Source organism: Homo sapiens, chromosome 17 (assembly GCF_000001405.40).
Source record: "Homo sapiens chromosome 17, GRCh38.p14 Primary Assembly".
NCBI lineage: Eukaryota > Metazoa > Chordata > Mammalia > Primates > Hominidae > Homo > Homo sapiens.
This window is the reverse complement of record NC_000017.11, coordinates 5517074-5539368: the sequence shown is the minus strand read 5'-3', so window position 1 is coordinate 5539368 and position 22295 is coordinate 5517074. Positions and strand designations below refer to the sequence as shown.

Genomic DNA, 22295 nt, shown 5'->3' with positions numbered 1-22295 from the left:
GGGTATCGGACAGGGGATGGAAAAAGGACTGATAAATGCATAGCCAACCCAAGTTTCTTACCAGCTCTACCACTTACACTGTGTGACTTGGACAAGTCGCTGAATTCTCTGGGACTCTGTTTCCTCATCTGTGGAATGGGAGTATCATACCCACTTCATGGATTGTAATGAAATAAAATGTATATAAAAACAAGGACAGGCAGGGCGTGGTGGCTCACGCCTGTAATCCCAGCACTTTGGGAGGCCGAGGCGGGTGGATCACTTGAGGTCAGGAGTTAGAGACCAGCCTGGCCAACATGCTGAAACCCCATCTCTACTAAAAATATAAAAACTAGCTGGGCATGGTGGTGTGCACCTGTAATCCCAGCTACTTGCAGGGAGAATCACTTGAGCCTGGGAGGCAGAGGTTGCAGTGAGCTTAGATCACAGCACTGCACTCCATCCTGGGCAACAGAGTGAGACTCAGTCTCAAAAATTAATTAATTAATTAAACAAATAAAATAAAAACAAGGACAGTGCTGGGAAGAGAGTCGGGCATGATCAAATGATAACTATTACTGAGGCTGCATGCTCTAGGGGACGCTCAGGTTCCCCTCACTCCAGGGCAGCGCTTCATTCATTCATTTACTCATTCATTCATTCACTGAGTGCCTCCCGTGTGTAAGCACCAGACCAGGCCTTGGGGTACAATAGTGACCAAACAGACATGGGCCCTGCCCTACTGAAGCTTCTACTCTAGTGGGGAAGAGACGGACACTGGTCACCTGTAAATGCACAAGTCTATATTTATGAGCTCTGTGGAGTGAAAGGAAAGTACAGGGTATTATGAGAATGTAATATTGAGGGAGGATGGGATTTGATCAAAGGGCCAGGGAGGACTTCCCTGAGACAGTGACGTCAGGCTGAGGTCTGAAGGAGGAATAGGTACCCAGGCCAAGTTGGGGAGAGTATTCTAGGCCTAGGGATGGTGTGGGGAAAGGCCCAGAACAAAGAGGCACTTGAGCCCCGGAGAACTGAAGGACCCTGAGTGGAGTGAGCCCCCAGCCCTCATTTCCCATCCCGTAGGCCCCAGAGATTCTTGCCCTTCCCCGAGGAGCCACCCCCACACTATCTCTGGGCCACTTCTGCTCCCCTCCACCTCCCTGGGAGCAAGCCCATGAGTGGCTTCTGTCTTGACACTTACCCACGGCTCCTGCCAGGGGCCCTGCCACATCTCAGGGAGCAGACAGGGGCTCCAAACCCCCACATCCAGAGCCTTCTCAGAGGGGGTCCGGGAAGCCTGGGCCTCGGGCTTTCCTCAGCCAGGCCTCCCAAACCTAAAGAAGTGGTCAAGGCAGAATAACAGAAATAAATAGTCTACATTTGGGTTCTCCTGTAGCTGACACTGGCTATCTACAACCATGGGAACTCCATCCCAAGGGGGCAGCACCTTTGCACCCCAGCCTGCTGCTCCCCACTGAGTATTTTTGGCTATCACTACCTCCCTTATGCTGAAGAGCCTTTCCCCAGAGCTTGGCCATGGCAGGCAGATATGGCTTCAGGCCCCAGCTCAACACTTACCTGTCAAACCTGGGCTGCTTCTGAGGGGGTTTGCTCTCTAGAGTCCCGAGTAGGTTTCCACCTCCTTCCCTCCTGGAGCCGGGACTTAGTTGAGAAGAATAACCTTCTACTTCAAGGTCTGCGCTCCTCCCCAGGGGCAGAACAGCTCTAACAGCAGTAGGGGAATGAATGCAGAGCCCTTCGCAGAAGACAGGGTCTTTTCACCGCCTCCTTGTCTGGGCCTCAGAACAGGCAGGGCAGGATTGATTCATCCTACGTGGTAGATGGAGGACACAGAGACCCAGAGAAGACAATCAGCATCTCACATCTGGCAGAAACCCCAGACCACAAGGCCTGGGAGGATGGAACCAGGACTCTCTCTTCCCAGCAAAACTTCCGACCACTGGGAAGAAAATCCCAGGACCCAGGCCTGAGGTGGTCATTTTGAGGCCATGGGGAAATCCCTGGCAGCCGGCTGTAGAGACAGCCTCTGCCAGTGAGAGCCACCTCACCCAAGGCCACATCTCCTTCCTGGGGAGGCCCACATCCGATGACTGGCCAATGTTGGGGTAGAAAGGCCCAGCCCCTCAACCCAACTCCTTTAAACAGCTCTAAAGGATCATCTCCCAGAGTTGGCTGAGGCCTCCATTGGAGACTGCCTCACAGCCCACGTCTCCCCGATTCCCTCCCTTCCCTTGCCCTGGCATTGACCCAAGAACACACCCTAATGAATCTCCTCACTGTACCCTCCTCCTCAGAGCCTGGCTTCCAGGGAACCCACCCTGCGGCCGCTGCCTCAGAAGGTGACAGGTCCCAGGATTCTGGGCCCTGGGGACCTGGGGACCACATGGGGGATCCCAGGAGGACCCGGCTCCCTTTGTGCTTTCAGGCTGGACCAGACAACTCTGAGTGATGAGATGAGGCAGGAACTGAGGGCCCTGGAGCAGGAGAAACCTCAGCTGCTCATCTTCAGCAGACGGTAAGGGGGGACCCAGAACTCCCTCTGGCTGACCCAGGCCCAGGGCTGAGCAGGAGACAGGGAAAGAGCCATGGGGTGAGAGACAAACACAGCCAGGGAGAAACCCAGACACCACAGCAGCCAGAGTGAGGTGCACTTGTCAGTGCAAGTAGAATCAAATCCCCCCTTGCTTCAACTCTTAACGTTAGACAAACAAGGAAAGGAAAACATGAAAAAGTAAGTGGGCTAAAAAATTAGCCAGGCGTGGTGGCGGGTGCCTGTGGTCCCAGCTACTCAAGAGGCTGAGGCATGAGAATAACTTGAACCCAGGAGGTGGAGGCTGCAGCGAGCCAAGATCGCGCTACTGCACTCCAGTCTGGGTGGCAGAGCAAGACTGCATCTCAAAAAAAAAAAAAAAAAAAAAAAGCCGGGCATGGTGGCTCACGCCTGTAATCCCAGCACTTTGGGAGGCTGAGGCAGGTGGATCATGAGGTCAGGAGTTCAAGACCAGCCTGACCAACATGGTGAAACCCTGTCTCTACTAAAAATACAAAAATTAGCTGGGTGTGGTGACGCACGCCTGTAGTCTCAGCTACTTGGGAGTCTGAGGCAGGAGAATCACATGAACCCAGGAGACAGAGGTTGCAGTGAACCAGGATCACGCCATTGCACTCCAGCCTGGGTGACAGAGCAAGACAACATCTCAAAAAGAAAAAAAAAAGAACAAGAAAAAGTCAGTGGGTGGGTGAGCCAGCGAATCCCCTGGACCCAGCACAGCATGATACCAAATGGCCTCTAGTCCAGGAATCCTTCCATGAAGAACAGAGAAGGTTTGGAACAATGAAAGCGATGATCACAAGAGGGAGATAAAGACAGAGAGAGAGAGCGCCTGTGCCCTGGGAAAAAGACCATCCTCGCCATCACCGTCACCCACCACCCTCACCACCACCACCACACACACCCCTGACTTGAGGGGCAAGCCCCGGGGCCAGGAAAGTCCATCTTCCCTTCCCCGAGGAATCTGCTGCAGCTCCCACATTCTCCCAGTTGGGTGCATTTCCACCTGACCATGAAGCTCATCTGTCCCCAGGTTCCTGGCTGCTGTGGCTCACCTGAAATGGAAGGAAAACAGCTCCTAGGCTTAAGAGGAGCCATTTATTCATTGAACAAACATTCCCTGCAGACCCACTATGTGTCGGGCACTGTTTGGGGATCTAAGGACACAGCAGTGAACAAGAAAGACACAACCCAACCTCCAGGAGCTTAGTCCAGCAGGGAGACAGGCACAGGTTATCCCAGAAGTGTCTGCGCAAATGCACCTGGGGTCAGTGTGAGTGCACCTATGGGCCTATTTGACCTGGTCAAGAGGATCTGGGCTGAGGTCTGAAAGACAGGACAGGTTGGCTGGGCCCAAGAAGGGGTGGAGTCCAGGCAGAAGTAGAGGCTCTGAGAGAGAAAAGAGTTTAGCCTCCTGGAGGAATGGGAGGCCAGGCGTCAGGAGCAGCTACTCAAACTGTGGTCCGTGGACCAGCAGCATGAGCATCACCCTCACTGGGAGCTCGATAGAACTGCAAATTCTCAGGCCCCACTCCAGACCCACTGAATCAGAATCTCTGGGGTGGGGCCCAGGAATCTGTGTCTTTTTTTTTTTTGAGACAGAGTCTCGCTCTGTCACCCAGGCTGGAGTGCAATGGCATGATCTCGGCTCACTGTAACCTCTGCCTCCCAGGTTCAAACCATTCTTATGCCTCAGCCTCCAGAGTAGCTGGGACTACAGGTGCATGCCACCACACCCAGCTAATTTTTGTATTTTTAGTAGAGACGGGGTTTTACCATGTTGGCCAGGCTGGTCTCGAACTCCTGACCTTGTGATCTGCCCGCCTCAGCCTCCCAGAGTGCTGGGATTCCAGGCGTGAGCCACCGCGCCCGGCTGAATCTGTGTCTTAACAAGCCTTCCAGATGATTGTTAAGCGCACAGTTTGAGAACCGATGGACTAGAGGTCAGTGAGCCAGGAAAAAGTGGCCCAGGTGACATTGGAGGGTGACAGAGGCCCTGGCAAGCCCTTTTGGACTATGTTAAAAACTTTCCATTTTCCCCCAGAAGCAATGAAGCGACATTACAGGGTTGCAGCAGCCAAGTGATGGGTCAGGTTCCTATTTCAAGATTGGCTGCTGTGTAGAAAATGGGCGGCAGAGGGACCCGAGCAGAAGCAGGGAGACCTTTCAGAGGATGCTGCAGTGGTGCGGGCCACAGAGGCCAGGGCCTGGGACTCAGGTGGAGGTCATGGAGGTGGAGAGAAGACAATAGAAAGAAGAGCTATTTGAGAGGTGTTGTCAAGGTGATCAGCTCTTAGGGTGGGCGAGGAAGGAGTTGGGATGACACCCCAGCTCTAGCCTGGATGCATGGGTGGATGGAGGCTGCTCACAGAGACAGGGACCACAGAAGAACCACAGGATTGAGTTCAAATTCGGATGGAGTTTTTTTGTTTGTTTTGTTTTGTTTGAGACAGGGTCTGGCTCTGTCACCCAGACTGGAGTGCAGTGGCACAATCTCAGCTCACTGCAACCTCTGCCTCCTGGGCTCAAGTGATCCTCCCACTTCAGCCTTCCAAGTAGCTGGGATACAGGTGCATGCCACCATGCCCAGCTAATTTTTGTATTTTTGGCAGAGATGAGGTGGGGAGGTCTCACTATGTTACCCAAGCTGGTCTCGAACTCCTGAGCTTAAGCTATCCACCCATCCCGGCCTCCCAAAGTGCGAGGATTACAGACATGAGCCACTGCACCCGACCCGAGGAGGAGTTGAATTTTTAGTGGGAATGTCATGTGGACAGCCCTCGCTTCCTCCAAGATCTTAGGCAGAATGAACAATTCTTTGTCCAGGAAACCAAGTGTGATGACCCCTACTGAGGGCCTGGATACGGGAGAGATGAGTAATAGCACATCCTCACTCAAGCGGCAGAGACTCGGATCAGGTAGTTTGAAGGGGCAAGGCTGGGAGCATCGTGACAGGGGTTGGGGGAGGTCAGCTGTGGGAGGTCATTCCCTCCATCCCTCTGCCCCTGATGTGGGACGGGGCAGGTTTCCTACCCAAGAGGGTGCTACCCCCACGAGAGAGCTCCCACTCCTAGGAACTGGCTGGATTTCCGTTACCCTCTCTCCGAGACCCACCGGCTGGTGCTTCCCCTCTCCAGAACGTCTATGGCATGTATCAAACCCTGAACCGGGGTCCGGCCTCTTCCATTCTTGGCTGCTAAGGCCTGGGAATCACATCTCCATCTTTGCCCTGCCATCTAAAAAAAAAAAAAAAAAAAAAAAAACAGAGTCTCACTCTAGTGTTCAGGCTGGAGTGCAGTGGCATGTTCATGGCTCACTGCAGCCTAAACCTTCTGAGCTCAAACAATCCTCCCACCTCCGCCTCCTGAGTAGAACTGGGACTGCAGATGCTCACCACCATGCCTGGCTGATATTTTTCTTTTTTCTGTAGAGAGGGCGGCTTCCCATGTTGCTCAGGCTAATCTCAAACTCCTGGACGTGAGCAAGATCTTCCCAATTGCTGAGATTGCAGGCAAGAGCCACGGTGCCTGGCCCCTTTCATCTTTTGAACCATGTTCTCTCTCAACCTGCCCACCTGGGCATGCTGGGGAGAGTGGCACTTCTATTCCAGTGGGGAAGGGGAGATGGGCGGAGGCTGGGCTGGAGGCACTGGAGTGGGGCTCCCCAGACAGCAGGCAGGCAGCCATGGAGCAGGAGCAGAAGCTGCAGACACACTCCCTGCCATGGTCCAGGCAGGCCAGCCTTGGGAAGGGCCCCTTACAGTGCAGCCATAGGGGCTAGGGGAGGCCAGGCGGGAGAATCTGGAGCTGACCGCTGCCTTGCTGTTTCAGAGGAAAGCTCCCCAGAGGTAGTACCGGTGGAACTCTTGTGCGTGCCTTCTCCTGCCTCTCAAGGGGACCTGCATACGAAGCCTTTGGGGACTGACGATGACTTCTGGGGCCCCACGGGGCCTGTGGCTACTGAGGTAGTTGACAAAGAAAAGAACTTGTACCGGTGAGTGAGGGGGCTCTGCTGGTCCCAGGCTGGCCTCCCGCACCCCACTGCCCATCCTGGGTCCCCACAGACAGTCAGCGCCACCCCCTACCCCCAACTCACACTCACCACTGGGTCCCCTCCTCTTGCCAAGACAACAGGCAGAGACAGGGCTGAGACACTGGGTGTCTGCTTTTCATATGGAAAAAGATGTTTTCTTATGAAACTTAAAATTTTCAAACATATACAAAAATAGTACAAGGAGCTTCCATGTACCCATCACCCAGCTTCAGCCACTGTTTTGCCAAATTCGTTTCAGCTGTTCACTTTCCCCCTCTTTGTTATTGTTACAGTATTTTAAATCCAAGACATCGGGTGATTTTACCCTTAAATATTTCATTACGCATCTCAAAAAACAAAAATAAAAACCTTTTCTTCCATAACATAACTACAATGCCAATATCACATCTGACAAAGCTGGCAGTAAGTCTTTCATTTCATCTACTCCCCAATCCATATTCAAATTGCTCAATTGTCTAAAACATGTTCTTATAGTTGGTGTTGTGGTTTGGTTGGGTTTGGTTTGATTTGGTTTTGAGACAGAGTCTTGCTCTGTCACTCAGGCTGGAGTGCAATGGCACAATCTTGGCTTACCTCAACCTCCACCTCCCAGGTTCAAGCGATTCTCCAGCCTCAGCCTCTCTAGTAGCTGGGACTACAGTCACATGCCACCACGTGTGAAAAATGAAAATTGTATTTTTAGTAGAGATGGGGGTTTCACCATATTGGACAGGCTGGTCTCGAACTCCTGACCTCAGACGATCCACCTTCCTCAGCCTCCCAAAGTGCTGGGATTACAGGCGTGAGCCACCGCGCCTGGCCAGTTGGTGTGTTCTTATCAGGATCCAAACAAGGTCCACTCATTTTATTTTCTTTGTTATATTTCTTAAATCTCACTTAACTCTCTTAATCTGTATGCTCCTGTTTTATTAACAGCCACTAATGAGCTAAGGACTGTACTAGTAGCTGGGGACCCTAAGATGAATATGGCAGCCCTGCCCTCCCAGGGCTTACAGTCGCACTAGTAGTAATTCTCTATAGTCATACTCATGATCTCTTATATAACATGTTACCACTCACCAAACACTGCCACAGACATCATCTCAACCAGGAGACAGCGTCACTCCCAGCTCACACCTACAGAAGCTGGGGCATCCCGGGACCCACTATTAACCCACCTGAGGAGCCTTGGGAAAATCACTTCTGATCTCTATAAAAGTGTTGTTTCCAATTCTAAGGGTTTAGCATTAATATTAGCACATACGGCCAGGCATAGTGGCTCATGCCTATAATCCCAGCACTTTAAGAGACCGAGGCAGGAGGATCACTTGAGTCCAGGAGTTCAAGGCCAGCCTGGACAACATGGCAAAACCTTGTGTCTACAAAAATTACCAAAAAAATTAGCTGGACGTGGTGACATGTACCTGTAGTCCTAGCTACTCAGGGAGCTGAGGTGGAAGAATTGCCTAAGCCAGGGATTTCGAGGCTGCAGTGAACCAAGATCGGGCCACTGCGCTCCAGCCTGGGCAACAGAGTGAGACCATATTTCCATAGATTAGATAGATAGATAGATAGATAGATAGATAGATAGATAGATAGATAGATAGATTAGATAGATTAGATAGATAGATAGATAGACAGACAAGACAAGACAGATAATCTTAGCACATATATTGTTATTAATTATTGCTAAATAGGCCCCTTACATATACGAACACTTGTTATTTCATCATTACCATCATTGCCATCATCAACATAGTAGAAACAGTTCACAGCTCCCAGGCGTGTACTAAGCTGTGAGCATGCATTAAGTCACTTATTCTCGTAACTAGGAGATGGGAGCTATAATTACTCCTACTTACAGATGAGGAAACCAAAAACAGGAAGGTTAAATGACTTGCTCAGGGATCCACAGTCAAGAGCAGAAGAGCCAGGACTAAAATGCAAGTCCATCTGATTCCGAAGTCTGGGCTTGAAGCCACTGTACCGTATCCGCAAGCCCCTGCATGGGGTCTGGCATCCAGCAGGTGCTCAGTGAGTTCGTGCAGTAAGTGTCTGCCTCTCCCTCTTCTTCCCAGAGTTCACTTCCCTGTAGCTGGCTCCTACCGCTGGCCCAACACGGGTCTCTGCTTTGTGATGAGAGAAGCGGTGACCGTTGAGATTGAATTCTGTGTGTGGGACCAGTTCCTGGGTGAGATCAACCCACAGCACAGCTGGATGGTGGCAGGGCCTCTGCTGGACATCAAGGCTGAGCCTGGAGCTGTGGAAGCTGTGCACCTCCCTCACTTTGTGGCTCTCCAAGGTAAACAACAGGGAAGGATAGGGAGGAAGGTGGTGGTAATTATGGGCCTGAAAGGGAGTGTAGAATGATAATCTCCTGGGAGAGGGTGTTGTGGCTTCCTTAGAGGGGCCGAGGGGGGGTTATGGAGATGGGGACTAAGATTTTCCTGCATTCCACTCTTCTCTGGACTTATCTTTTTGAAACACATCTCCCAGCCTCATAATTATATCTGCCTAAACTTACTTGAAAGTTTTTATTAAGTGTCATTTATATAGACTGTATCACTCAAGGTCCCAGCAGGAAAGAGATGATATGCTCAGTTGAGATTTTTGAAGAAGCTTTTCAAAGACAGGACCATTTACAAAGTAAGGCTAAGTGAACTAACGAAGAATGTTGGGGCAACAGGGACTAGCAACAATAGGAAGCCATCACTACTCCTACAGGCAGGGAGAAGAAACAGTGTCATCAGACGCCATCTGAGAGCTGGAGCCATGAAACAGGGGCTTCCCATAGAAGATAGTAATCACAAAGTATGATTTTATGTCACCTCCAAAGACTTCCCACAGAGTTCCAAGAAATATCAGCTAACAGTCAAAAATCTCACAAAGGGGAAACAAGGCACCAGAAGTAAGAGCCAGCAGAAACGACAGATACCAGAATCAGTCCCTTAAATCCTTCAGATGCTGAAATTATCAGAAAAAGAACATAAAATAAGTGTGTATAATATGACCAAAAAAAAAAAAGTAACCTTAAAACTATCAGCAAAAAGCAATGAACCATTAAAAATGACAAATCAAAGTTGGAAACTAAATTGACTAAAAAAAATGAAAAAACAAGGCCGGGCGCAGTGGCTCACGCCTGTGATCCCAGGACTTTGGGAGGCCGAGGAGGGCGGATCACGAGGTCAGGAGATTGCGACCATCCTGGCTAACACAGTGAAACCCCGTCTCTACTAAAAATACAAAAATTAGCCGGGCGTGGCGGCAGGCGCCTGTAGTCCCAGCTACTCGGAAGGCTGAGGCAGGAGAATGGCGTGAACCCAGGAGGTGGAGCTTGCAGTGAGCCAAGATCGCACCACTGCACTCCAGCCTGGGCCACAGAGCGAGACTCTGTCTCAAAAAAAAAAAAAAAAGAATAAACAATCAAGTAACTTGTAGGATACCATGATAAGTCCTAATATATATCTAAATGGAATTCCAGAAAGATAAGATAGAAGGGAAAAAAATAGAATATTCAACAAGACAATTGCAAACAAATTTCTGGAAGTATTGAGACATATGAGACTTCTCAGAATGAGAATCCCCAAAACTGCAATGCAGGAAAGAGAGAGAGAAGGGAGAGAAAAAATCAAGATTAGTCTCATTAATGTGAAACTACAGAATAAGAAAGTATGAGGGAAAGCCTTGACATCAGCCAGAAAGAAAGGGTTATAGGTGTGAGCCACTGTGCCCAGCCAATGTCTGTCAATTTAGTGAGCAAGTTAGAAGAATCTGATGTGTCCCCATGTCAAATCATGACTCCAATAGAAGCTTCATTTAATTGCTGATAAAATGATTTGATAAACAATTTATGTTATAGCTTACATCAGTTATAAGCACTTTTATGATTTGTACAGTTTAGCTAGATATTAAATGGGTTTTTAATATTTTTTCTTGTCTTAATTTCTTTATTTCCCAGGAATAGAGGTAAATGAGAATTTATTTTTAATTTCTCATTTGTTAGTTGATATGTTGTAGTATCATCCCAGTAGTTCAATGTATTTTTAGTATCACCTCAAAATAAAGGTATTAACTTTACAGTATGCATATATTAAGGTAATCAAGGCATATATATAAGAAAAATTATTTAGAAGCTAGTAGAAAGAGAAAAATCAAATGAGAAAAATAAAAAGCAGGGAACTGCTCAGTACCCAGAACCAGGAAAGTCTTGTTTGTTGAGGCCACAAAAGTTCAGTAAACAATTCAAGCTGCACACCAGGAGGAGAGCATGGGGCAGGGAAATAGAGTCCCGGGGGCCTCAGGATCCCTGGGGCACCTGGTTGAACAGTCAGGGTCATATGGGCATTCCCTAGGGAAGGTCCCAGACTAAAACAGAATAGAGGGAAGAGGTGCAAGACAGCTCTGGAATTGTAGAGGTCCATTTAGAAAGGAAGAGATTGAGGAGAGGAAACTGATGGCTGAAACAAGAAGCTGGGACAAGTTACTTGTTCCCACCGGGCAATCTATAGAGTAATGAACACAGCCACTACCACAACCAGCCTGCCTCTTCCACAAGTGAGACCGTGGCCAGGGATCCCCAGGTACTCTATCAAGAAGAGAGGGGCCTGGCTAATAGAGTCAGTGGGCTCAGCTCTGTCGTAGCTCTGCCCATGACCAGCAGCAAAAGAACTTGGCTTGCCCCAACCTGGGATGCTCAGGGCTGCACCACCACTCCCTGCTCTAACCAGGGTATTCCAGGAGAAACCTCATGCAGCTAAGGTCTGGAGCCAGAATGTACCACCAGGGCCCGAGGGGACAAAGTCTGCCTTCAGGTCCTGCTCCAGCGCCCCCTCATTCCCCACTCTCAGAGGTGGATGAGCTGGCCCTCCCCATTGTGAGGACTCCCAGGCCATGCCCTGCTCAGTCTCCTGCGTGCATCAAGTGGGCCTGGGAGACGGGATTTGTCCAAGGAATTGGGTGACCCTCCGAGTGCACAGGCATCTAGCTGAAGCCTGCCAGGCTGACAGCCAAATCAGAATAGGAATGAATTCACTGTGCTTGTGGCACTGTCCTTTGTGGCACTGGAACTTGGCCAATAAGAACTGTGAACAATAACTGAGCATCCTGTGCCTGGAACCATGCAAGGTAGTTCCGTATATATTAATATCATCTCTTTTTTCATAATGAACCGGGAAATTAGGCACTACAGTTTTCCCTTGGTGTACCAGTGAGGAAACTGAAGCCGAGAGAGGTGAAGACCCTCTTCCAGAGTTGGGATTCTATCCCAAGTCCTGTTTATCCCAGGCTAAGAGCTACACCCCTACCCCTCCCCAGTCCTGCCCAAGCCCATGTCCCACTAGCCTTCTCTAGACCAAATTCTGAGCCTCACCTTGTGGCCAGATAGGATTTACTCCCTTTGGACTCCGTACACAAGCTTGTACAACCTGCGGCCTGTGGGCCACATGCGGCCCAGGATGGCTTTCGATGAAGCCCAACGTGAATTCGTAAACTTTCTTAAAACATTATGAGACTTTCTTGCGAATTTTTTAAAGCTCACCAGCTATCATTAGTGTTAGTATATTTTACATGTGTGGCCCAAGACAATTCTTCTTCTTCCAATGTGACCCAGGGAAGCCAAAAGATTGGACACCCCTGCCACAGAACAAGAGGCAAAATGCACAGAGGCTGCTTTTAGCTAGCTGTGACCAGCCAGGAAACCAATCCCTGGGGCCGGGCAGGGCCCCTTCCAGAAATGCTTGCTGCCTGCTGTCTGGGCTGCAGCTGTTCATTGCCCTGGAAACGATGACCTCACTGCCTGACACAGGGTCTGATTTAGGACTTGGGCACTGGTGCTTCATCACTGTCGTCGCTGAACGGGTGATGAGTCATTAACTTTCCATGGTGAGTTTTCTCCCACTATAGCTAGAGCTTGAGGCTTTCAGCCTCTCAGCTTCATCACCGTGGCAATGGGCATTCTCACCCTCCTGCAGGACCAGCTCCAGCAGTCATAGGGCCCAGCACAAAATGAAAGCGCGGAGCTCTTCATTCAAAAATGATTAAGAATGTCAAGACCACCAAACATGAAACCAAGCACCAAGCCCTGCTGAGCTCAGGACCCTGTGTGACTGCACAGGCCACACATCCATGAAGCTGGCCTTGTCCTTCGGGTCCTTCGTTCCCCCACCCACCCATCTCCTTCAGCACACACAGACCTCTGCTCTCCACACAACCCTCCCTCCAAGAGGAAGTGAGTTCCCTCATTTTTGTCACACTTGCTCCTCTCTGTGCTGCCTGTGGGAACAAGAACACTTCACACAGACACCTGAGTGGGGTCTCGCCCCATTCCCACTCCCTCCCCCTGCCCACCTACTCAGGAGTTCAACCAGATGAGATGGCTGGAAACCACAGTGGTATCCCTCAGGCCTCAAAACTGTTGTCTTCCTGGAACCAACACTTACTGAATCGTATAACAATATAGAGTCCCAAAACTCAGATTAAGCAAAATGGATATTCAAAATACCTTAGTGGCTGGGTGCAGTGGCTCACACCTGTAATTCCAACACTTTGGGAGGCAGAAACGGGAGGATGACTTGAGCCCAGGAGTCTGAGACAAGCCTGGGCAACATAGTGAGACCCCATCTCCACAAAAAAATATTGAAGAATTAGCCAGGCATGGTGGTGCGCACCTGTAGTTCCAACTACTCAGGAGGCTGAGGTGAGAGGAGCACTTGAGCCTGGAAGGTCAAGGCTACAGTGAGTCATGATCGTGCACTGCACTCCAGCCTGGGTGACAGAGCAAGACTCTGTCTCAAAAAAAAAAAAAATTTAGTAGCTTTTTCTTCCCAGACCCCAAGAGTTACCAAGAGGACTGGGCCGAGTTGTTTGAGGAAGAAACAGAAGGAACCACCACAGCCAGGTGGATAGATTGGTCAAGCTGCATTTTATCTGTAATACGAGCAAGTGGTCCTTATTATCCCCAGGGCTTTATAGACACAAACCCAGTCAATCTGCACAGTGACACCGGGAGGGGGATGCTGTTATCAGCCCCACTTTACAGATGATGCACAGAGAGGGCAAGTAATCTGCTCAGAGTCCCACAGTTGGTAAGAACCCTTGCTGGGAGTCAAAGCCAGGCAGTCCCTATCATTTAGCTGCTCTGCTAGACAACCCTCTAGTGCCCTACCTTCATGTGATGTGGGTCCCACTGTCCCTGCTTGAGTAGGAGAGCCACTGTGCCCCTCAACAGCTCACCTGAGCCTGGAAGGTGCTGACCACACACACTCAGCAGGAAGGGCACGGCCAGGCATCAGGCCACAGGCCCAAGGGCAGCATCTAAAGGAGGGAGAGTCCCCAGGCTCCTGGACAGCAGGAGCAGCAATGTCCCAAGGCAAACACCGGGCATGCGGCTGGGAAAGGAGGAAGGAGCTGACAGGCTTCCATTGGCGGAGCACTTGTCATGCTTTGAGCCATTGTTCTATTTGCTGTCTGTATTCCCCATTGGGCCACAAGCTCTGGAATTGCAGTGCCCATGTCTTTCCTGTTCACAGCTACATCCACAGGGGCTGGCACATTGTCCGTACTCAGTAAGCTTTTGTGTAATAAGCAGATGCAAAGCCCTGGACCCCAGACCCACAGAAACATGCCTACCTCATGATAGCTTTTTCTAAATTTTTCTGGTGCAACCAGCCAAAGGCAGCGTAGGTCTTTCTGCCAGTGAGACTTCCTCCAGTCAACACTCAACCTTCTTCTCCTTCAGACCACAGTCTTCCCCATTGCTTCCCTTCTCTCTCCAATCTATCAGCACAAATATACTGTCAGGTTTGGATGAGGTGACTCTACCACAATCTATGGAAAGGGCAGTATGTGCAAGAAGGGGGGTGACCAGCTCATCTTAACACTGACAGTCCTGCACCCCCAGGAGCCCTCTCGGTCCTGGGCAAGCATGGACAGTTGGTCACCCTAGCAAGAAGGTAAGTTGGAGACACCCAGCACCTTCTGGAATTCAGCAAAAATTCAAGTGGCACCGAGCGTCTGTTAGTGCTCCAGACTGTGGTCAGAATCCTGGGATCTGGTCCTAGGACCATGGCTGGTTGTGTGGCCTTGGAAAAAGCACTTTCCTCCCAGGATTTCAGCTCCCTCAACTGACATGTGAAGACATTCCAGTGCTTTGGAGGTCAGGATGAGACCATCCATTTAGTGCCAGTGATGGCAACGCAAACCAGCATCGCCTCTTGGAGAAGCAACTGGGGAGTGAAGGAGGTCATACCATCTCACACGCTTTCCTCATCCCTTGGTACTGATTGATTTCAAGGCAATAACACAAGGGAAATAGAAGCTTTCTGCAGAATATGTGCATTGCAGGTGCTATTTATCATGGTGAAAAGTTGGAAGCAAACTCAACACTGAAATGAGAAACAGGCTGAATCACAGGGTGGTGCATCCACTAGCAGGGATCATATACTGTGGTAATTAAATGGTCTGACATCCTTGCAGCAAGTTAAACTGTCACAGGAAACAAGAGACAAAGTATCATGGACTACAATAAAAATAGGAAAAGGTGTTGCCGCAGAGAAAGACTGTAATGCAGGCGTCCCATGCTAAGAATAGTTATACTGTGGCCAGGCGCGGTCTGGGAGGCCGAGGCAGGTGGATCACCTAAGGTCAGGAGTTCAAGACCAGCCTGGCCAACATGGTGAAACCCCATCTCTACTAAAAAGCCAGGCGCAGTGGTGCATGCCTGTAGTCCCAGCTACTCGGGAGGCTGAGGCATGAGAATCACTTCAACCCAGGAGGCGGAGGCTGTGGTGAGCCAAGATCACACCACTGTACTCCAGCCTCGGTGACAGAGCTAGACTCCGTGTCAAAAATAAAAAAAGAATAGTTGTATTGTTTGATTGGTAAGATTCATAGGTGAATTCTTCCTCATTTTTTCAGATGATAGATACCACTGTGACTTTATTTTCATCCCAAAAACGCAGTTAAATGACAAAACTTAAGTAATGGTCTTCATGGACCCTTCTGGGATTGACATCTGACTAAGGGCTTTGTCCAGCTTGCTGGATGCCTTGTTGCCCAGAAACCACTTGCATTGCAGCAGTTACCAGGCAATGCAGGGATGGAGCTGGGACCTCTGATCCCTAGGCCAGTGTCTCTCCCATTACCAGTATTCATCCCTCAAGCTCTCTTGTAACTTCAATGTCCTTGCCTGGCGCTGGTCAGAGACTGCAATCAAAGGTACCAATTCTGGCTGATTTAAGCAGAAAAGGGATACATTGAAAGGTTATTGACTAACTCATAGACTTAGCAAAAGGTTATGCAACAAATCTAAGCGGGGGGGAAGATAGTGACCCAATGACTCAGAGAAACCAAGGGCAGAGCCAAGGTCACATCAGGAAAATACGGAGACAGGCGGCAGAAAATACGGAGACAGCTACTGTAGGACCCTCCTGCCCAGGAGCCACTGGGCTCTTTTTCTTTCTTTCTGGTATTTTGTTTTTTGTTTTTTGTTTTTTGTTTTTGAGACAGGGTCTCACTCTGTCACCCAGGCTAGAATGCAGCAGCACACTCATAGCTCATTGCAACCTTGAACTTCTGGGTTCAAGTGATCCGCCCACCTCAGCCTCCTAAGTAGCTGGAATTATGAGTGTGCACCACCACACCTGCCTCTCACTGGACTCTTCACCCAACTGCTACTGCCAGAATTCTCTCTCTCTGCATCTGTTTCACCCCTCTAGACTTGAGGTCCCAGTTAGAGACAACCACTTAGTCAAGTCTTGGTCACACACCTGTGTCCTTGCTGCCAGGGAGTAGTAGCATCCTGAGTGGGGGGCTTGGCTTGCCTCCTGCCAAGACCCACACAGTGCTGGAGGAGGAGGCTCTTCCTAAAAAGAAGAGTTTGAATAGTGAGTGGCCAAACACCTTGGTCACTCTATGTTCCTACTGCCCCTTCCTCCTCCTTGTTCTCTACCTGCCTAGTCAAACCTTCCAGCATCACTCAATGGTCTCTCATAGAGAATCCACACCAGCACAGGCAACTAGAGGTTCTATATCTTTCCCAGCTCCAGGGCCAGGGGCTGGGTTTGCGTATAAGTTTGGCTCAAGGGTGATCCTTGAGCTCCACTTAGGAGTTCAGCACTGCTAAGTGCTCCCACCTGGTGGCACAATTTCCCACAGCCTCCAAAGGCCCCAGGCCTAGAAATGCCCTCTTCCCCATGCTGGGTGTCTTAGCCTGTTCAGGCTGCTATAACAAAATACCATAAACTAGGTAGCTTGTAAATAACAGAAATTTGTTTCTCACAGTTCTGGAGCCTGGTAAGTCCAAGATCAAGGCGCCAGCAGATTTGGTGTGTTGGTGAGGCCCATTCCTCATACATGGAGCCTTCTAGCTGTGTCCTCACAGGGTGGAAGGGACAAGCAAGCTCCCTTGAGTCTCTTTTGTAAGGGCACTAATCCCATTCATGAGAATTCCACCCCCATGACCTAATCACCTCCCATAAAAGCTTCACCTCTTAATACCATCACCTTGGGGGTTAGAATTTCAACATATGAATTGTAGGAGGACACAGACATTCAAGACCATAGCACTGGGCTCCCCCAAGAGGGTACCTGAGCCTAAGCCCTGGGATCCTACAGTGCCAGCAAATCCTGACTCAGTAACAACACTAAATCTAGGCCTCTTGGGCTGGATGCAGCGGCTCACGCCTGTAATCCCAGCACTTTGGGAGGCCGAGGCAGGCGGATCACCTGAGGTCAGGAGTTCAAGACCAACCTGGCCAACATAGTTAAACCCCATCTCTACTAAAAATACAAAAATTAGCTGGGCATGGTGGCAGGCGCCTGTAATCCCAGCTACTCGGGAGGCTGAGGCAGGAGAATCGCTTGAACCCAGGAGGCGGAGGTTGCAGTGAGCCGAGATTGTACCATTGCACTCCAGCCTGGGCGACAAGAGCGAAACTCTGTCTCAACAAAATAAATAAATAAAAATAAACCTGTGCCTCTTCAATCCATTCTTTTACAGGGGGCCATGTGGACACATCCCTGTTCCAAATGGCCCACTTTAAAGAGGAGGGGATGCTCCTGGAGAAGCCAGCCAGGGTGGAGCTGCATCACATAGTTCTGGAAAACCCCAGCTTCTCCCCCTTGGGAGTCCTCCTGAAAATGATCCATAATGCCCTGCGCTTCATTCCCGTCACCTCTGTGGTGTTGCTTTACCACCGCGTCCATCCTGAGGAAGTCACCTTCCACCTCTACCTGATCCCAAGTGACTGCTCCATTCGGAAGGTGACACTAAGAGCCAGAAAGGCTGGGCCACGGTGGGTTGACGGTAAACACAAAATGCAGCCAGAGAGCCCCCTAGAGGGTCTTCAACTGGGACCAAGGATGGGCCTCTTGTACAGGAGAACCTTGAAGTGGGCAAACAATTCGTCCCCTCTCAGTCTTGGACTGGTCTCCTGCCTCTCCAAGGTATCCCCCTGCTAGGTTCATTGATCAATCACTGATCTTTGGACAGTTTCTTACGGCCCCTGTCCAGGAATCAAAGGATTGGAGTCCTCCATGCCTAAAACTGTAGCCTTTCCTCATTCTAACTTCCCTAACAATAACCCTATTCCTATCCTGAAGACATCAAAGACCAAGTGCGGGCTGTCTCTGTAGCAGTGCATGGGGGGAGGGAGGCAGGGGTGATATAGCCCCACTCTGTCCACACAAACACACAGATGCACCATCCCCCCTATTCAAACCACATTCCACGGGGCAGAAGCCTCCCTTAATCATTGTTCCCTATGTTCTGTAGGCCATAGATGATCTAGAAATGAAATTCCAGTTTGTGCGAATCCACAAGCCACCCCCGCTGACCCCACTTTATATGGGCTGTCGTTACACTGTGTCTGGGTCTGGTTCAGGGATGCTGGAAATACTCCCCAAGGTGAGCAGCCCAGTGTCTGCCTCTTCACTGCGAACAGAAGTCCTACCTGGGAATGAATGCCTGTGGGGCAGGTCTCAGGGCTTTCTCAGGGACAGGATAAATCGAGGTTGAACAGAAAGTGAGTGGGATTTAGAGAAAGTGGGAATGCTTCCAAGACTAGGAGAAAGAAAGTTCGGAGGAGGGAGGATCACATGCAGGATGTGAAGGATGATGGGGTTTGACTTGGGGGCACTGGGAAGTGTTTGGGCTATAGGTCATCAATGTCCTTCAGTCCAGACCACCAGGAACAAACCTGTAGTTGAACATACTGGCTTTATTAATCATTGCAGTGGCAGAACACATATTATGGGGAACCATGGGGTGTCTCAGTAAAGGGTGTTTGAAAGAATCTGCTATAGGATTTGGGCCTTGGTTGCATACATTTGAGGAAGATCTAAGGAAACGAAGATTTTCTTTAGATTGGGTGTTGGTTCAGGCCACACGGAGATTTGTGGAAGAACATTTCAGGCAGAAGGAATGTGTGCAGAGGCATAGAGGTGGGAGCAAGCTTGACGCCTCCAGATGACAAAAAAGAGGTCAGTATAGCAAAAGATGAGTCAGATTAGAGGCAGGGTCTTACCAGGCCTCATCTGCCCTGTTGGCCCTGGTATGCACTTTGCACTTTGTTCTAAGTGCAATGGCAAGCTTTTGAGGGTCATAAACAGCTAATACAAGACCTGATTTACAGCCAGGCGCGGTGGCTCACGCCTGTAATCCCAGCATTTTGGGTACCGAGGTGGGCAGATCACTTGAGGTCAGGAGTTCGAGACCAGCCTGGCCAACATGGTGAAACCCTGTCTCTACTAAAAATACAAAAATTAGCTGGGTGTGGTGGTGTATGCCTGTAATGCCAGCTACTCAGGGGGCTGAGGCAGGAGAATCACTTGAACCTGGGAGGCAGAGGTTGCAGTGAGCCGAGAGTGCACCACTGCACTCCAGCCTAGGTGATAGAGCAAGACTCTGTCTCAAAAAAAAAAAAAAAAAAAAAAAAAAGACCTGATTTACTTTCATAAAGATGCCTCTGGCTGCTGGGTGAGAACGAATGATAAGCAGGCAAGAGTGAAAGCAGAGAGACAAGTCAAAAGGCCATTATGGGCCAGGCGCAGTGGGTCACGCCTATAATCCCAGCACTTTGGGAGACCAAGGCGGGTGGATCACCTGAGATCAGGAGTTTGAGACCATCCTGACCAACATAGTGAAAACCTGTCTCTACTAAAAATACAAAAAATTAGTGGGGCATGGTGAGAGGCACCTGTAATGCCAGCTACTCGGGAGGCTGAGGCAGGAGAATTGCTTGAACCCGGGAGGCAGAGGTTGCAGTGAGCCAAGATCACCCCCCCTGCACTCCAGTGTGGGCTACAAGAGCAAAACTCTGTCTAAAAAAAAAAAAAAAAAAGGCCAGGTGTGGTGGCTCACTCCTGTAATCGCAGCACTATGGGAGTTCAAGGCAGGCAGATCACCTAAGATCAGGAGTTCCAGACCAGCCTGGCCAAGATGGCAAAACCCAGTCTCTACTAGAAATACAAAAATTAGCCGGGAGGGCCGGGTGTGGTGGCTCAAGCCTGTAATCCCAGCACTTTGGGAGGCTGAGGCGGGCGGATCACAAGGTCAGGAGATCGAGACCATCCTGGCTAACACAGTGAAACCCCATCTCTACCAAAAATACAAAACTTTAGCCGAGCGTGGTGGTGGGTGCCTGTAGTCCCAGCTACTTGGGAGGCTGAGGTAGGAGAATGGCATGAACCTGGGAGGCGGAGGTTGCAGTGAGCCAAGATTGTGCCACTGTGCTCCAGCCTGGGCGACAGAGCGAGACTCCGTCTCAAAAAAAAAAAAAAATTAGCCGGGAGTGGTGATGGGCACCTGTAAACCCTGATACTCAGGAGGCTGAGGCAGGAGAATTGCTTGAACCTGGGAGGTGGAGTTTGCAGTGAGCCGAGATCGTGCCACTGCACTCCAACCTGGTCAACAGAGCAAGACCCTGTCTCAAAAAAAAAAAAAAAAAATGCTGTTGTGGTTGGGTACAGTGACTTTCGCCTGTAATTCCATCACTTTGGGAGGCCATAGTGGGAGAATCACTTGAGGCCAGTAGCTCAAGACCAACCTGGGCCATGTAGGGAGACCTCATCTCTATGAAAAATGAAAAAATGAGTATGGTGATGCACGCCTGTAGTCCCAGCTACTCAGGAGGCTGAGGCACTTGAGCCCAGGAGTTCAAGTCCAGCCTGGGCAACATGGAAAAACCCCATCTCTCTTTAAAAAAAAAAAAAAAAGAAACAAAAAAGAAAAAGAGAAAAAAACAAAAGGCTGTTGCAATACTGCAAGCTACAGTTGAAGGTCACTTGACTAGGAAGGTAGCGAGGGAGATGGAGAAAAGTATATGAATTCAGGGTTGATTTTGAAGGCAGAGCCAACAGGACCTGCTGGATTGCCTGTGTAGGGAAGGACTTAAGCATGATTCCGAGTTTGGAGCCTGCATGCTCAGTGGATGGTCCTATCCTTTACTGAGTTTGGGGAAACTGGAAAGGGAGCATGTTTGGAAGACAGTGGGGAATCAAGAGTTCTGTCTTAGCTGGGATTTAGGAAAGGGGATGGATATAAATTTTTGTCAATCGACAGTGGGTGGAGTTTAGGGTCCATTGGGAAGACAGGCTTTGGGCTGGAGAAATGAGGGTTTGGATTCAAGATGGGGGAGGTGAAGGAAGAAGGATCTGGCTTAGGATTATGAGCACTACGTTTAAGGACAAGCCCTGACTTACCCGTGAGGTACTCAGTTGTGTCCTCATCCTTCTGTGGAAAATTGGGAAAAGAGCAATGTCTGAAGGTGATGGTTGATTTCAGTACAGGGATCATCAGAGTGTCCTTATGGAGCCAAGCAGGGCCAAGAAGGTGTCAGGTGGGGAAAGACCTTCCATGCAAGATGAACAGGGTGGCAACTCAACTCTTTGCCTCTTCAGGAACTGGAGCTCTGCTATCGAAGCCCTGGAGAAGACCAGCTGTTCTCGGAGTTCTACGTTGGCCACTTGGGATCAGGGATCAGGCTGCAAGTGAAAGACAAGAAAGATGAGACTCTGGTGTGGGAGGCCTTGGTGAAACCAGGTAAATCCAGGACAATTCCAGAGAACTCAGAGGTGGGAGGAGAAAGAAAATCAATGAAGGAGCTGGGCACAGTGGCTCACGCCTGTAATCCCAGAACTTTGGGAGGCCGAGGCAGGCAGATCACAAGGTCAGGAGTTCAAGACCAGCCTGGCCAATATGGTGAAACCCCATCTCTACCAAAAGTACAAAAATTAGCCAGGCGTGGTAGCGCGTGCCTGTAGTCCCAGCTACTCAGGAGGCTGAGGCAGAAGAATCGCTTGAACCCAGGAGGCGGAGGTTGCAGTGAGCTGAGATCGCACCACTGCACTCCAGCCTGGACAAAAGAGCAAGACTGCAATCCAAAAAAAAAGAAAAAGTCAATGGAAGAAAGTCTGTGTATGTGGGAGGGGGGGGGGTGCAGAGTGCACTATCACAGTTTATTGATGAGAAGAAATAGCCCACAGGAGGTAGGAGGTAGGTGGCTTTCTCAAGTTACATAACAGTTGTTATGACTAGAATTTAAACTTGACTCAATCTGACCCTCTAAAATTTATGTTCTCTCCCATGCACAATGGTGTCTTCACAGTGCCCTTGAATTAACAGATGTCGACATACACAAAGCTTTTAGCTAAGTTTCTCATGATAGTTTGGGTGTGAGGTGGAAGAATAAGACCTAGATAGTCATATGGTCGT

General features: G+C 49.8%; 1 protein-coding gene and 1 long non-coding RNA gene across 7 annotated transcripts in view; one reads left to right on the top strand and one right to left on the bottom strand.

Annotated features, from left to right (window-relative positions):
• NLRP1 (NLR family pyrin domain containing 1) overlaps window positions 1–22295 on the top strand; it is an 83114-nt gene that overhangs the window by 45141 nt on the left and 15678 nt on the right. Inside the window, exons 8-15 of one of the 5 annotated variants that reach the window (NM_001033053.3) lie at window positions 2429–2518; window positions 5381–5472; window positions 5985–6077; window positions 6385–6547; window positions 8665–8888; window positions 17583–17845; window positions 18357–18488; window positions 21482–21623. In NM_001033053.3, the coding sequence (NP_001028225.1) occupies window positions 2429–2518; window positions 5381–5472; window positions 5985–6077; window positions 6385–6547; window positions 8665–8888; window positions 17583–17845; window positions 18357–18488; window positions 21482–21623 (1199 nt within the window). The remainder of the gene's footprint in view (window positions 1–2428; window positions 2519–5380; window positions 5473–5984; window positions 6078–6384; window positions 6548–8664; window positions 8889–17582; window positions 17846–18356; window positions 18489–21481; window positions 21624–22295) is intronic. The other 4 variants (NM_033004.4, NM_033006.4, NM_014922.5 and 1 more) reach the window with 4 other exon arrangements.
• Window positions 1225–21533, bottom strand: LOC124903902 (uncharacterized). Of its 2 annotated transcripts, none has more exons than XR_007065590.1 (4): window positions 21284–21533; window positions 5669–5790; window positions 1561–1812; window positions 1225–1316 (listed from the first exon to the last, which is right to left on the bottom strand). It is a non-coding gene; the product is annotated as an uncharacterized LOC124903902 (long non-coding RNA). The 2 variants fall into 2 exon arrangements; XR_007065591.1 differs by lacking the exon at window positions 21284–21533 and adding an exon at window positions 8449–8551.